The sequence below is a fragment of the Homo sapiens genome, chromosome 9 (genome assembly GCF_000001405.40).
Source record: "Homo sapiens chromosome 9, GRCh38.p14 Primary Assembly".
In the NCBI taxonomy this organism is placed as follows: Eukaryota; Metazoa; Chordata; class Mammalia; order Primates; family Hominidae; genus Homo; species Homo sapiens.
Window position 1 is genome coordinate 126,411,387 of NC_000009.12, and position 15,663 is coordinate 126,427,049.

A 15,663-nucleotide genomic window follows, 5' to 3' on the forward strand; every position below is an offset into this window, starting at 1 on the left:
CTAGCACACAGTAGGAGCACAATAAAAAAAGTGCGCTGAGTCAGTCGCCACATCCTAATTATAGCGGCCTTGTGTGCCTGTTGATACTGGTCCAGCTCCCCTGGCATGGGCCTGTGTTCACTGGGTAATACTTGGAATTAAGTTTTAGGTCTGGGCATAGAAGGTTTATAAGATAGTGAATATAACTGTAGAGGAAATAGGTCTCTTTTAAGTTTTACAAAACCTTACTTGTCTTGGCTTGTGTCAATTACAAAACGAAACAAAAAAGAGACTCATCAGACCGTGACAAATGATAGTAAACTTTGCGCATGGTGGTTTCTCCCTGAGGTTGGCTCCAAAATCAATATGAAAAGAAAACCACAACTGAAAATATTTTAGAGCCTAGAGTGATTAAAATAACTGACTTTCTGTTTTAGCGGAAACAAGTTACAAGAAAGAATTACAATATCTCCTCACATCTCTGGGTCTTCACAGATCTCAATCGTAATTCAGAGCCTCACTTGGGAAACACAGGGGACTTGGAGCAGGAATCCTGGCTGTGAAGTCATTGAGGAGGATTCGAGTGTTAGTCAGGCCCTTCCAGCTGAAAATGATTCATTTTAATTACCTTCCAGGGTGATCCGATACCTGAGCATATGGTCTTTAAGAAATAAGGTTCCCCAAACTGTCAGCAAGTGTGGGCAATGGTCAGGGACCTCTTTCTGACACCATTGACCAGCCTTGGAGAGCGGGCGCTCTAGAAGGTGCTTATTAAAATGCCAGCAGGTGCAGCAAAGGTCCCCTTCTCTGTGACTCCCGCACCCTGCTTGTGCCAGGTGTTTTATAAGAGCCTTTTTCTTCATTAAATGGCATTCATTAAGCACGTCCTTACACCTGGCACAGAAGCTGTGCGTCACAGATGACTTCTTCCCAGTGGTGTTTGCAGGAATAATGTGGAATTTCATTTAGCCATTTGCTGTGTTCTTCTTCCCCTTCCTATCTTAACTTGATTTTTGTTGCTTTTCATATTTCTTCTGCTGCCCCCACAATCCATTCCTCTCCTTTGTACATGACCTCTGGTCTTTGTCCACCAGCAGACACATTATATAGAAAACAAGGTGTCCCTTCAGCACCAAGCACCACCACGCTGGATGCTTTCATACGTGTGTCTCTTCTACTCTCCCAACCACATTGAGAAGTGTTCCCCTAGTTTTTGCCATCTTTTTTTCTGATTAAAAGAAATAATTTCTCATCCAAAAAAATTAACACTTAAAACATATGGAAGAGCAGTGGGGAGAATCCACACTCCCATCTTAGAGGCTTCTGTCGTCAATACCGTGAGCCTCTCCTGCCCCTCAGTCACCTCTAAGTTACTCCCTCCAGCCCTTTGCTGTACTGTAGCTTAGCCGTGTGTGCCCATGGAAAAAAGATTGTCTTATGGGATTGTTTATAATACATCATTCTGCAACTTTGTTTTTGCTTGGCTGGTTTTTTGGTTTTGTTTTACTTAACAGCCAGTCTTTGGGAGTTGGGCATTTCTACAGAAAAATCTCTGGCTCTCTTCATCTATTCGTTCTGTCCTACTTTAGTATTATATGAAAATTCCACATTTTATTAGCCTCCTCTTATTGATGGTCATTGGGCTGCTCCCAGTTCATTGCCATGACAAATGCTGCCCCAAGGCCCTGGTTCCTGTCCTTTCCTTCCACAGCTGAGATCATATTCCATACACAGATCCCGAGCATCTCACTCCAACCCTCTCCACAAAGCCTGTAAACATCATTTTATGTCTGCATAATATTCTGAGTCAGACATAGTAACATTATTTCCAGTTTTTGAGTAGACCGTCATAATTAAGAGCATGAATTGTGTAATTGGCCCCATCAGCATTCAAATCCAAGCTTCTGCATACTCTGTGTTCAAGTCCAAGCTGTATCCAGCAGAGAGGCAAGCTGTGGAGCCTCTCTGAGACACCTGTGGAGTAGGGGGGGTCTCAGCAACTCGCCGTAGGATTGGGTTAGGGATCATAAGATGCATATGACAGGTACACGCTGTAAACAAGTCAACTGATGATATTTTTAAATTTTCTTAAATAGGTCATTTCCCACATTTCAGGTTCTTTCCTCAAATCTCAAAAAGGGAAGAATAAATGCTGGTCCTTTTGTCGCATTACTTCCCCTTTCTTAAGTATTAAATTTGAATCATCTGGAATGTATTATTAAGTGTTTCTCCTAGAGAAGGTGACATGAGTAATCTTCTGTTGTCTTCCTGCACAAAAGACAACTTGAAGTCATACAAAATTGCTGAATCACAACTATTTTCACCTTCAAAACTGGCTGCGTCGTCTTCCAGCATTTAGTATGGCAGAGGAAAAGTCTGAAGTCACCATCAGTATTTGCCAGGATGTATCCTCTTTTCATTGCATTTTCTGGAATCCTGTGAACCCCATTGGTTGTGTGTGTGTGTGTGTGTGTGTGTGTGTGTGTGTATAAGGGTTGGGAGATCAAAGTGGCAGGTGCCTCTGACTATGAGTGCGCCTCTGCCTTGCTAGTCACCACTCTCTCGACGCTGCCCTTTGACAGTCTGGGAGGACAGCAGGCACTGCAGCTGCCTGGGCAGAACCATCTTCATTATATGTGGCCACTGGGTCTACAAGATTAATGGTAACATTTTAAAAATTCACACAGACCTGGAATCAGCACTAGAAAATACAGATTTAAATTAACAAGGAAAAAGCAGAATCCCATCAAAGGAAATAAATCGTGCTGGCAACTATTGTCTCATAATAAAATATATTCTATAACTGAAGGGCTTTTATATGGAGCTGTCTGCAGCTTAGTGGCCATGTTAATTGAATAAGGTGCCTAAGACTGACTTGGGGGAAAAAATGAAATTCCCCTCAGCATGTATTTAGCTGGAGCCGTCATCGCTGGCAGTGCGTGCTTGCTGACCTGTTTGTTACAGAACAGCCAATCCCTCCTGCAGAGAGACGTGATGGCCACCAGAAGCAGCAGGGTGAGAGCCCTGTCTCCTCCGGGCAGTTCCGTGGGCAGGGGGAAGGGGAGGATAGCTTGGTAACACTCCCCGAGGATTTAGGGACTGTTCCAGTTACAATTCTCCAGTGACCAAACAGATTTTGGAATAATAATCCATCATTTGAGTCAAGTGGCAGACATGGTTGTCCTCTGATGGACAGCCCTTGCTCCAGGGGTCCAAGACCTACTGGGGAAGGTGCCAGAAGGCCTTCACCTCCTGGCACTATCCTAAGTAGAGACAGTTTCTCGAGCCTTTGAGTCTCCTTCTCCTCAGTCTGCTGGGGAGCTTTATGAACTCTCCTAAAATCTAAACTCATGGATCTGCCTACAGAGTGGTCAACTTCGGGCCCACTAAAATGACTCCACTGAAACTGCTGTCCATAAGTGCACCAGCCACCATCATTCTCGTGGACCTCTCAGGTTTTTTTTTTTAATTTTTATCTATTTATTTATTTTGAGACTGGATTATAAAACTGGCTAATTTTTGTTTGTTTGTTTGTTTGTTTTTTGGTAGAGATGGGGTTTCACCATGATGCCCAGGCTGGTCTCAAACTCCTGGGTTCAAGTGACCCACTCGCCTCGGCCTTCCAAAGTCCTGGGATTATAGGCATGAGCCCCCACTCCCAGCCGGCCTCTCGGTTTTGTTTGATGCTGTCGAGTACCTACTCATTCTTATAACTCCCTTGGCTGGGAGCTGCAGAAGAGGTGAGTGTCCAATGCCAGTGGCCTAGTGCAGCTCCTGATCTCTTGCTTCCTCCCTCCTCCAGGTACAGGGTCGTGATCGGGGCCTTCCTTCAGTCTCTCCTTAGACAATCCAACCTGTTTATTCTCATGAACCAGAGGCCTTTGTATGGGAAAGAAGCCAAAGAGTATTGGGTTAACTGACCACGATTCCAAGCATGAAAATAAGGACTTTCTGTCTATGGATGCCAGTCCATAGACACTGGATGCTGTGGTCATAGGCATAGGCACTGACCAATAAAGAGTCTTCTAAAATATTTTAAAAGACAGCCAAATATTTCATGAAACAGTGGTACCACAATTTTTTAACCAGTCCTCCATTGTTTGATTGTTCATCTGATTCTAGTTTTTGGCTTTATAAGTAGTGCCGTGATGAATTTATTGTTTACGTAAAAATATCGTGAATCAGAAATAGTTGCATTTTCCAAGCCATTAACCAACCCAGTCGTGGGGATGAGAAGGAGAGAAGAGACAAGGCTTCCTGGAAGTTTCCCGAAACTATCCCTAATTATAAGTCAGAATCAGATCAACAAGTAGTAGGTAATCTTAGAGGATTTTCCCTAATATTTGTTAAGCGCTCACTGTGTACTGGGCATTGTTCTCGCCCCTGGGGATGTGGTGGGAAGAAAAGGTGTGGTGGAGATCATGTTCTGGTGACATGAAAACAAGTCAGACAGCCCGATAGAGTGGGAAGGGCGCCACAGGGAGGAGGCAGGTGTTATAAGAGTGTGGCGGGGTGCCTCCTCAGAAGGGTGGCCTGACTGGGGAGGGAAGCCAGCCGCTGAGATCTGGGGACAGTGGCAAGTGCAAAGGCCCTAAGGCAGGAACAAGAGCAGAGGCTGGAGGAACAAAAGCGGCTACTGAGGTTGGCAGACGTGAATGCAGGGAGGGTGGACAAGATGTGGTCAGAGAGGAGGGATGGGCCAGAGCTGGCAGCACTTCTCAGCCGTGGGCGGGTTTGGATTTCATCCTGATGCAGAGGAAAGGCCCCGTGGGTTCTGCTGTGGTGCTGCATGGAGGCCCTCATGAGCCAGACTCTAAAATAATGCCGGGGTGGCAAGAATGGGGAGAGTGGGAGTAGGATTGAAGCTCGCGTACTTGCATGTGCTCACGCATGCCTGGTTCCGTGCTGTCAACCCTGCCTGCATGGTGGCCCTCTGTGCCCTGGGAGGCAACACACCCCTGCCAAAGGCCATGTGACTCCCTGGTGCTGGCGCTGGGATTTGGACCCACATCCAGCGGACTCGGGGGCACTGCCCTCAACCACTACAACTGGTTTGCCTCCCTGGGTGTGCGATCGGGCCATTGGTCATCCAGCTCTGTATAGTTCACTGTAACCTGTCGGGATCACTGAGCTAGTGAGCGGCAGAGATGTCATGTCCCTGGCATCACTGATTTCAAAAGGGCCTTCAGGAGGGACCCTGTGGCCCTGATTGAGTAGTCTCATTTTATATACCCGATAGTGAAGCTGAATCGGGGTAACTCTAACATAGCGATAACCACCTCCGGAGGACACATGGACTGACCTCTTCATTAATACCTAGCTTTCCCTTCATCAGCTTTACCTCTCAGAGCCTCAGTTTCCTATTCTGTTAAATGAGAATAATTACTCCTACCTAAAAAGGTTGTTGAGGTGATGAGGCCGGGTGATATATTGAGGACCCCCAGCCCAGGTCCTGGCAGGTGGGGCTCCATCCCACGCTGGGGAACTGGAATCTCATCTCGCCAGAGACCCAGCTGATGGCAGAGCCTTCATCCTTGTCTCTCACTTTCAGGCTAATCTGACACCAAAGCACTCCTGGGCCACTTCTCCTTCGGCAGGTGACTTGTCCTGTTTAACCACAGGTAATCTGTCCCTGGGGCCCAAACTGTTCATTCTCATTAATGGGAAGCCTTGATGTGCCTTTCTGTCCTGTCCCCATGTCCCCTGCTTCCTGTGTCCAGGAGTAGTGGAAGCAGAAATGCAGGGGAAGCTATTTGCCATGTAGGGAGGAGCCCTTCTCCCTAAAGCTTTCTCTGCCCAGGGGGCCTTCTCACCTGCTGCTCTCTGACTGCTGTCCCTTACCCACTCTTGCATCAGCTACTTTAGCTGGAGTATTCAGTAACCTGATTTCAATTCAGCAGATCCCTACTGAGCAGTTATTCTGCAGAAAATACAGTCAGCCTGTGACTTGAATCCTCTTTTAATTTCACATTTGCTGCATCAGGCACACATTGTCTATCATATATGAACAGAAACCTTCTTTTTTTTCCCTTCTTGTAAATTCCTGGTTGCTGCTGCTGCTGATTTCTTCTTACCCATACCTGGTTTCCTCCATAATGGAGAGAGGTGAGATTCAGGGTATAAAACAGAGACCCCTGGAGCCTAATTAATTGGGAAAATACACACAGGGAGAAATGAAATGATAGAGACTAACAGCAGTTCATGTCAAAAAAGAAACCCAGGAGTTTTAGTGAGCCAACTACAACACTTGATTTGGTCAACAAATGGTCAGTAATTGTCTACCCTGTGACAAAAAATTGTCCCAGAAAATGAAGTACAAAATTGATGATATTTGGCCCTGCTCTTGAGGAGGTCACAATCACATTAGGGAACAGGTTTATATCAGATGACCAAAGTGTACTGTGATACCTGGAGTGGGGTGAGAGAAGACACTCAGGCATCCAATCCAGTCTGGGGCAAGCCCAGGAAAGGTTTTTCCAAAGAGGGCATGGTTGGGTGGGATCTTGAAGTATGAATAGGAGTTTGGAGAGTCGGTAAGGAAGAATGGAGATTCCTAGGAAGAGGGAGTGGCATGGATAAAGAATCAGGCCTAGGCATGAGAAAAACAAGGCCTGTTCAGAGATTAACAAGACTTCCACTCTTTCTGGAGGAGAGGGGAAGTAAGTAGTGGCAAGAGGCAGAATCTGGAAGGTGGGCTGGTGTGCCGGGGATGTGTAAGTGTACAGAGTGAGAAGACAGCTAAGCCAGCACCCTTGCAAACAGCAACCTTGCAAAGTTTGGAGACGAAGTGGGAGTTGGCGGGGTGGGGGGTGGTGGGCAGAAAGAATCATCTCCAACGAGGGAAGAGAACCTGGGGCGGGGGTTGAGTTGCAGAGCAAGCCAGGCAAAATCTGAGGCCCCGAGGGACAAGAAAGTTTGGTCCCGGACATCAGTATTGCATGGAGCAGCTGAAGAGCTGGGCCCCTTGATTTCTCTGTTGTTCATATACTTTTTTGTGGTTGTTATTGCTCATATATTTCTTTTAAGTCCTAAATTTCCCCAAAACTATCCATTTAGAGGGTCTGTGGCAAGTCATGTCGACAGGAATGAAGTCTCTGCACAAAGTAGATAGTGAATAATTGTAGGCTCATGATCATTTCCTGCTACCATTCCCATCCACATTGGCGCCTTAGTTTTATTTCCTCACTCTCCCACAGACGGGCAAGCTTTTGAAATTGTAAATTGGATGTTGGCACATTTCTGCTTAAAAATCATTCCAGAGAAAGGCAGAACCCATGCTGGGCTCCACGTGGCCTGGCCCCACCGTCTTCCTGGCCTTCTAGGCATGGCCACCCTGGCTTCCTCCTAAGTCTGGAGGAGGTCAGACTCCCCACGGAGCCTCGAGTGCTCACCCCTCCTCCCTGCTGCATCTCTCTGATTTCTGCCTATCTTCAGTTCCCACCTCAATGTACCTTCCTCCAGGAAGCCTTCCAGGGAGCCTTCTCCTACCCTGCCCTTCCTAGCACTTGAGTCTTCCCGCCTTCCATAGGAAATGATCACACTTGTAAGCAAGTGTTCAGGTAACTTTATGGATATTTTCGTGTCCCCCTGCCTGTCCTGCCACCACTGAGTCCCCCACAGATCTGTATTGATGCATATTTGACCACCCAACAGCTCGGCTGGCCCCATTTTCTCCTCTGCCTCCTGGCTGGCCTCTTTGCCATCATCCATGTCCACCTGGCTCCCAAAGTTCTGCTAATGCTCCTGCCTCCTCTGTGAGCCTCCCTGAATGCTTCTAGCTCCTGGAGTGTTTACCGCACTGCACAAATCGCTCTGCATCCTTAGTTAGGTTGCGTGCACCTTTTTAGGGCTTTGGAGGCTTAGAAATCTTAGTCTGGCAGCCATGAAGCAAAATACTTCCCTGGCTCCTGGAAATTCCCTCATTGGTATAGTGAGTGCAGTTATAGCACCTACCCTGGATCCTTTTAGTCACACACACAAAGCCCTGTGCTCAGAAGGGCCCCACCATGGGTTTAATGCTCTGCTGTTGCCATCTTGAAATTCTTGATAGCATTTGAATAAGGACCCCATGTTTTCAACACGCACTGGGCCGCGCATATTGTGTAGCTGCTCCCATACCTGCCTCGAGGGGCGTTGTGAGGAGCCATAGGAGGATGTGTGACACCTGCATTCCCAGGGCTGGCACCTGGTGACACTCTCAGCAGGGTCACCTGTCATCATTTTAGTTCTGCTCAACCACAACCACAGTCGATAATTCACTCTTCTGTTTGCTCAGCTTCATTGACTAAGTGCTGTGGTCAGAGACATTGATCAACTGCTGAAAACCCTTCTGCAGCTGCTCCTCACCCTCGCAGGGTTCCCAGACCTGGCCAGTCTTCCCAGACCTGGCCAGTCTTCAGATTCACCGCTGGAGCTTGTTAAAAATAGATTTCTGGGCTGCACCCGGCCAGGCCCACTGAATCAGACTCCCCAAGGTCAGGGCCTGTGAATCTGTGTTGTAGCAAGTTCCCAGGTGACTGACGCCTTCATTAATGCCATGATGGGGGTTTAGGAACCTCCATCCTAGGAGTTTGAACCCAAGCCTCTTGTAATGGTGTTTGGCGCCCTTTCCATCTGGCCCTGCCTGCATTTCTAGCTCTGCTTCCGACGTGTGCCCTAACCCTATGGGGAAGTGCTGGCTCTCTCTGACTCCCTGGTGGGTGCCTTTCACTGCCATAACACCTTGAGGGGTCCTGAAGCCCCGTTCCCTTTAACAGAATATATTGTTCCTTCTTTTCATGCTTACCAGCACTCAGTTTTTCTTGTTCTCCGAGCACATGTCACGTTGCACTGTGATTTGTTTCTGCTTTATTCCCTGCAGCCTGAGCTGAGGGAGCTCACCTCTGTACCCTTAGTTAGCAGCAGTAACAAAGAATATTCAGGTTCCCTCCATGCACGCCAGTGCACCCGGTGGACACACTTACAGTGCATGTGTCTGCTGGTTCCCCAAAGCCCTGAGCGTACAGTTGGTGCTTGATTCAGCCTGGCTGGGCTGTGGCTGAGTGTCCGCCATGAGCTATCACTCTGTGGCTAGCAGACCCAATACCTTCACAGCCCTTGGTGCTCATCTTGCCCCTGGAAGGCTCCTTCCGGTTCCAGCTCAATCCTGGACCTGTGGGAACATCCCCTCCCTGGAGAGCCTTTCCTCCCAGGAGTCTTTTTTTTTTTTTTTTTTTTTTTTTTTTTTTTTGAGGCAGAGTTTTGCTCTGTTGCCCATGCTAGAGTGCAATGTGCAATGGCATGAACTCAGCTCACTGCAACCTCCGCCTCCCAGGTTCAAGCAATTCTCCCGCCTCAGCTTCCCAAGTAGCTGGGATTAGTAGAGACAGGGTTTCACCATGTTGGCCAGACTGGTGTCAAACCCCCAACCTCAGGTGATCTACCCACCTCGGCCTCCCAGAGTGCTGGGATTATAAGCGTGAGCCACCGCGCCCGGCCCTCCCAGGAGTGTTTATGCACAGCAGTCATTCTAGGTCACACATGTGCTGTGTGAAAAAGGCACCTAGTAATTGACCACTTACTTTATGTGATAAGTGTTCCCTCCAGCAGTCTCTTCCTTTTCGGAAATGTCCGGGTGTGGCCACAGGTTAGGCTCCTGAGCTATTGCAACACAGCCCCCAGTTGTCCCACCAAGAGGTTTTGTTGTTTTTTTCCCCCAGTCCTGTTGGGTTTTAAATATTTTCCTATTCGCTTAATTTTTCTTTTCAGCATTCACTACAGGCAGCTGGTGACCATGCCAAATGGATTGTTTACTTTTGACTAAATGCTCACTTAGGCTGAGTGTTCTTTGTGAGCTTTAATGACTCACACCTGAGCCATCAAAGACTGTGCTGTATCTGTCTGGAAGGTGCTTTCCTGAGCACCTACTGTGTGCGCTGCCTGAGGGGGAACACACAGACATAGCAGTTGAGAGCGATGTGCCATCCTGATTTTCAGAGGTCATTAGTCTCCTGAACTCATATGGCAATAATAATTCCCAACACCTTTGTTTACAGAGCGCTTCATGTGCAGTGATCCTCAGCAGCCCTGCGGTGTAGGAATGGAAGCATTTGCATGGCTCCTGGAATAAACCAAGGCTGGTGTTCAGCGCCTGGGTTGTTACGGTCTTGCTGGTGCATTTTGCCCAGTGGGCAGAGATCTGGATCAAACTGCCACCCCGTAGAGTCCCTTGGGCCCGCTGTAAGGCTTGGGACACACTTTCTTCCTCTTGGATGTCCTTTCTAGTATGGAAAAAAAATGTGGCTGCTGATGTCTAGAAACTTCCAAATTCCTTGAGAGGACTTGAGCCCAGTGGAGGAGTTATGCTTGATTGAGAAGGAGGCGCTGGCCAGAAGCACCTGCTCTGCCCGCTGATCTGTGCTGCATTTCAGCTGTTGATGGCGTCAGTGCTTCCTGAGTCTTGGGGAATGCTCCTTGTAATCTCCTTTCTCTCGTCCTTCTCTTCCTCAGGCACATCTCCCTAACACTTCCTGCCACCTTCCGAGGCAGGAACAGCACCCGGACGGACTACGAGTACCAGCACTCCAATTTGTATGCCATATCAGGTATGTGGAGCCACCGCTGCAGGCCAGCTACAGAGTCTGTGTCCCGGGCGCCACCTCCTTCCACACGTTCTCTGTCTTCTCGTGGGATCTGTCTGCCTTACCTCTCTTTTCTTCCCTGCAGGGGACCTGTTCCCTGCAGGGACCAGGCCTTCCCTTTCCTTTGTGTCGCCACAGCACTTAGAGAAGGGCCAAATACTCAGCATGTTTTGAAACTAATGATGAAAAACAATGTGTGGATTTCACAGGGTTGAAGGGAGGTTTCCAGAGAATACTCGCCACATTGTTCACCTGCCAGACCCGGGCAGGCTTCCCACGGGGCCTCGGGAGCAGCGCCGAGCTGAGCCCTGGTCGGCTCACCCTCCCATATCCAAGTCTGTCCTCACCTCTCATTTCTCACAGCCAGGTTTGTGGCCAGCGGGTACACTGGCGGTCTCCCCTCACACCCCTGGAGCATGAGTCTGTGGTTTCTGAACTCGGCCTTGAAATTGATAGTGTTACCTTGGCAGGAACTTCATCAGTCCTAGTTTTCCTTTTCACCTTCACCCAGGGAGGGGAAAACTTACAAGCCTTATTACAGAATTGAGATTCATTAGGTGCTTGGCAGCACAGGTGACTTGCTAAGAGCCGAGGAAACCCACAAACTCGCCTCCGATTATCCTGGGCCGCCAGTGAGGGGTGTTTGTGTATAAGGGGAAAGTGGCAAATCAGTGCCACTTACCAGCACACACCCTTAATGGTGAGTGACATTTTGAACACAGGAACATGGCATTCATTCATGTTCCATAATGAATCGGTTATTTAAAAGGTAATCTTTTTTCTAAAAATTGCAACTACAGGTTACTAAATAGATGAAATAGAACAATGGCATAATTCTTGTCAGTATTAGTTTTTCTCGTTATGATCACTCCCTAATAGGTTTGGAAGTATAAGCAAAAGCCAGTTGTTCCATTTCTGGGTGACATTCCTGCTGAGAAGGGGAGGAACAGGGATGTTCTTAAGCCCCCATCCCTGGCTCCACTGCAGGAGCCAGGCTCTCCAAGGGGAGAGGGAACGTGTTTGTCTAAGAACAGCATCTCCAGGGAGAATTTCTTTTGTGCTGTGGCTATTTCAGCAGAGTCGACAAGGAGCATAACAAGTGTGGAAAGATGACCTATTTTGTAGAAAAGCTGAATATTTCCCCAGATGCTTAGTGGCATAGAGGTGCAGAACAGGCCTGTGGAATCCAGCAGGGCGCCCCCATTCAGAATGCACACAAGGGAAGCTTCATCAAAACGGATGACTTTTTTTCTGCAGCTCACAAATCTTTTTCCAGCCACAGCGTTTGGCTACACCCACTTTACCTGTGTTCTCTGATGGCTTTCCCAGCTGTTGGCGTTTCTGCAGGAAAGAGCCACAGAGTGAAATCTCCTATGGTTTGGCAGGAACACTGCTGTCTGCCTCTGGACCGCTGCTTCCTCGCCCCGCAGCTTTGATGAGGTGTTGTCTGGGTTCATTTCAGCTGTTAGTTTAGCAATACCAAGGTAACAGCCTCAAGACACAGGGGAAGCCATTCAGAAACTTCCTGTTACATTTATGTAAGTGGCAGTCAATTGGATTTTATCTTCCAAACAGAGGTAGTTGAGGCTACAGCCCACGGCAGCAGGCAATTTCAGGCCTCCTCAGTGGCTGCAAGCACCAAATTGCTCTGCCAGGGTCCAGGACTGCTTTGTTGTGTTGCTGCCAGAAATACCCTGCAGGACCTGCTGGCTCCATAAGGCCTGCAAGCTCAGCACTGGGCAACTATGGTACAACTGGGAAGGCTGCCCGCCCACCCACTGGCAGCCTGCCTGCGAGTCATTCTGGCTAGAAGGGAGCAGAGACCACCTCCCTTACCCCCATATGAACAGTATTTGGCACTGAGTGGCCTATCTCAGTTTGGTATTGTGAAGTTAGGGTTTCCAATGGTTTCTTCCAAAAACAGTTAAGGCAAAGTGTGCCCCAGGCCCTAGCCCTTGCCCAGTACCCATGCCTTGATAGCTGGAGTTCTGCTGATAATGAAATGAATCATCAAACCGTTCTGCCTCTGAACTGGCCCTGGCACAGGTTCACTGCAGACTTCAGGAGCTGAGCCTTTGGTGCAGACTCCTGGCGGGCTCTGTGTCCCTCCTGAAGACATTCGATTACTGCTCCCTTAGTGTTCCATCCCTTCCTAAGATAAGTAGGTTTCAAAACAGTGTAATTAGAAATTTGAAAAACAGCCCACACTTAATGTGTATGTATGGTTGTTAAAGTATATTAACTTTTAAATGTTTTCTCAGTGGCATACCTGCTAGTAGATTCCTTTTCCTGTATCTTTCACTAAGACAGTTGGCTCCCATCATGCCTGCTAAGGGTGAGACGTGGCACAGAGTTGCAAGAGACACCAGTGGAGACGATATGTAGTCCCATCCCTGGCACAAAGCAGTGCTCATGATGTGGTCATGGAAGGAAGGAAGAGACGAAGGGAATCATTTAGCCTCCTGTCTGCCTTGCACAGGAGTACCCTCCCAAAACCCTGGGCCAGGTAGTCATCCTGATTTTGCTGCTTGAATGCCTGTGGTGTCTGGGACCACCACCTCCTACCAGCCCACCCATCCCTGTGAGATCCTTCCTCGTTAAGCAGGGCTCTATCTTCCTGTTCTTTCACATCCACTCAGCAATTTGAGACACTGTGCATTCTGCCGACCAAAATTTGCCAGCTGTTCTACACAGTCCAGTCGTATCTCTCTCTTGCCCACGGAAGTGGGGTGAGGAGCTCTAACTCAGTGCTGAAATCCTGAGATGCCTGTGGCCTGCGCTCTGCTCTCTTGTACCCTAATCCAAACGGCCACGGCCACAAAGCCAGCATCCATCCTCACACTTGTCCTAGCAGTATCTCCTAGAAAATACAGATGTGCAAAAAGATTTATCCACAAGGATAAGCACCGCCACTTCTCAAAAATAATACTTCAAGTCAGGGGTGGGAGGTGGATAGATCTTAAATGCCCCAAACAAAGACGAATGCTTAAATTACAAAACATCCATACAGTAGCCTTAACTTTTCAGCCATCTAGAAGTGATGACTTAGATTAAAAGATGTATGTGAATATTGTTAAGTGGAAAGAAAAACAGGTAACAAGTCAGAATATGCAGTGATCTCATTTTAACAATTACATTCTAAGCTGGGAGTGGTGGTGCATGCCTGTAGTCCCAACTGCTCGGGAGACTGAGGAGGGAAGATCCCTTGAGGCCAGGAGTTTGAGGCTATAATGTGCTATTATGATGGCCTTTGGAAATAGCCGTGCACTCCTGCCTGGGGAACATGGATCTTGTCTCTTTAAAAAAATTAATTTTTTAAAATTAACAAAAAATACATCTAAAGGTCTGGAAAGGTCCACACCTAAGTGTTTATGGTGGTTTTCTTGGGACTTTCATCTTTTTTTGGCCTCTTTGCAGTTACTCATTTTCCATAATAGCACGTGTTGCTTTTGTAGTAAGAAAAAATACACACCTGATGTGAGTGTGGCATGTCCTTGGTAAACCCTGCCGGCCTGCAGGATCACCATTTTCTCCTGAGCACTCATGAGTCTATGCTTTCGAAGTTTACTGCAGAGCACTTCCAGACCACAGATCAATAATTTTCTTATTGTCCCTTTTAGAAAATATGATTTTTTTTCCCTGTTATGCAGTCCCCTGAAATCACCTGTTCATTCGAGTTCCTCAGAGATCACTGTCTGTAATTCCAGCACCATCCTTTATGTCCTGCTGGCCCTCTGGATGTGGACTGGGCAGGCAAGCAGCCGGCTGCTCCAGCCACCTCCCTGCCTTCCTTGCTCTTCATGTCCCCCATCAGTGTGTCACTCTGTAGGGTTTTGAAGATGGTTTTCCCTAAAAGGATAAAATGATGGTCGCTTGGCTTGGCTCACTCTGTTACCCATCTGGGTTAGGGTCAGCAAACTAAAGCCCATGGCCCAATCCCATCCAGGGCCTGTTTTGTGTGACATGCAAGCCAAGGATGGTTTTAATATTTTTAAATAGTTGGACAAAAATAAAAAGAGTAATATTTAGGGACATGTGAAAATTATATGAAAATCTTTAGTGTTTGTAAATAAAGTTTTATTGCAACACAGCCATGCCCAGTCCTTTACAAATGGTCCATAGCTGCTTCACGTTCCAATGGCAGAGTTAGGTGTGTGCAGGCAATGCCGGATGGCCAAGAAATCCTAAATATTTACTCTCTGGCCTTTTACAGAAAACATTTGCCAACCCCTGGTTAGGGTCATCACTCCTAAGCCATGGGTGCTATTCATCCTTACTCTTTCTAGCTGTAAACAAAATATTTCAAAACAACCTTTTTTGATAGTTCTTACCTTGCTGACTGTAGCTTTCCTGGTGCTGGTCTTACTGGTGTGACCCCTGTAGCTTTGTGCCTTTGGTTTTTCGAGCATGCCTTTAAGATCTTACCTCTTTGGAGGGCCCTCTTCCGGGTCATGTTGATTTCTCTAGGTTCTACTCCAACCCCACTCCTGAGTTTCCTGGTCAGGACTCTTAGTGGCTGTTACTTTTCTTAAGAACATCTTATCTTTCCTGAAAAGTCTTCTATTTTAGTCCCAAATGGTGGCACCCTACCTTTTTTTTTTCTTGGATTTTTTAATATGTTTAGATGTCTGCCCATTCACTCATTTCTCTTTCATCTATTCCAGAAGGATTTAAGGTAGCTCCAAAAATACATACGGCCAAATGAAAATGGAAGTGAGGAAACACAAGTGAATGGAAATAGGATAGAAAGTAGGTGCGGCTATGTGCAGGGGATATCTAGATTAGGTTCTGAGGCAGAGGGCTGTCCTTTAGGGGTAAGAGAGAAACAAGCTAGTTGCTTGGGAAGAACTGAACTATTCTCTTAAGCCCGAAGAGCTGTCCTTCCTCATAAACAGGGTCCCGTGGGTCAGCGCTGACTCCCACATATGCATTCCTTAGAAAGCTGAACAAAATGAGCAAAAAACCTCTACCGCCAAAATGAGTGCTCTTGTTTTCTTTATTTCTTTAGTTCTGCACTTTCCCACATTATTGCCACATGAGTGTTAGTCCTATGGATACATATTAA

At 47.4% G+C, this 15,663-nt stretch overlaps 1 protein-coding gene and 1 pseudogene across 7 annotated transcripts in view, besides 4 other annotated features; both read left to right on the top strand.

Annotated features, from left to right (window-relative positions):
- The window catches only part of MVB12B (multivesicular body subunit 12B), a 180,212-nt gene that overhangs the window by 84,558 nt on the left and 79,991 nt on the right, over nt 1–15,663 (top strand). For 6 of the 7 annotated variants that reach the window (NM_033446.3, XM_017015275.3, XM_017015277.3 and 3 more), the window contains one exon: nt 10,468–10,562. In NM_033446.3, the coding sequence (NP_258257.1) occupies nt 10,468–10,562 (95 nt within the window). Of the gene's footprint in view, nt 1–5,530; nt 5,598–10,467; nt 10,563–15,663 lie in introns of those variants that run through there. The other variant, XM_047424056.1, reaches the window with a different exon arrangement.
- Nucleotides 4,302–4,894: an enhancer, noted in NCBI's record as "H3K27ac-H3K4me1 hESC enhancer chr9:129177967-129178559 (GRCh37/hg19 assembly coordinates)". NCBI's record gives its function as "activates a minimal SCP1, AML or CMV promoter by ChIP-STARR-seq in primed H9 embryonic stem cells {active_cell/tissue: H9 hESC(primed)}" and the evidence as "EXISTENCE:reporter gene assay evidence [ECO:0000049][PMID:30033119]".
- Nucleotides 9,372–10,055: an enhancer, noted in NCBI's record as "NANOG-H3K27ac-H3K4me1 hESC enhancer chr9:129183037-129183720 (GRCh37/hg19 assembly coordinates)". NCBI's record gives its function as "activates a minimal SCP1, AML or CMV promoter by ChIP-STARR-seq in naive and primed H9 embryonic stem cells {active_cell/tissue: H9 hESC(naive and primed)}" and the evidence as "EXISTENCE:reporter gene assay evidence [ECO:0000049][PMID:30033119]".
- Nucleotides 10,056–10,740: an enhancer, noted in NCBI's record as "NANOG-H3K27ac-H3K4me1 hESC enhancer chr9:129183721-129184405 (GRCh37/hg19 assembly coordinates)". NCBI's record gives its function as "activates a minimal SCP1, AML or CMV promoter by ChIP-STARR-seq in primed H9 embryonic stem cells {active_cell/tissue: H9 hESC(primed)}" and the evidence as "EXISTENCE:reporter gene assay evidence [ECO:0000049][PMID:30033119]".
- Nucleotides 12,256–12,755: an enhancer, noted in NCBI's record as "H3K4me1 hESC enhancer chr9:129185921-129186420 (GRCh37/hg19 assembly coordinates)". NCBI's record gives its function as "activates a minimal SCP1, AML or CMV promoter by ChIP-STARR-seq in primed H9 embryonic stem cells {active_cell/tissue: H9 hESC(primed)}" and the evidence as "EXISTENCE:reporter gene assay evidence [ECO:0000049][PMID:30033119]".
- LOC124902337 (uncharacterized) lies at nt 15,507–15,584 on the top strand (annotated as a pseudogene).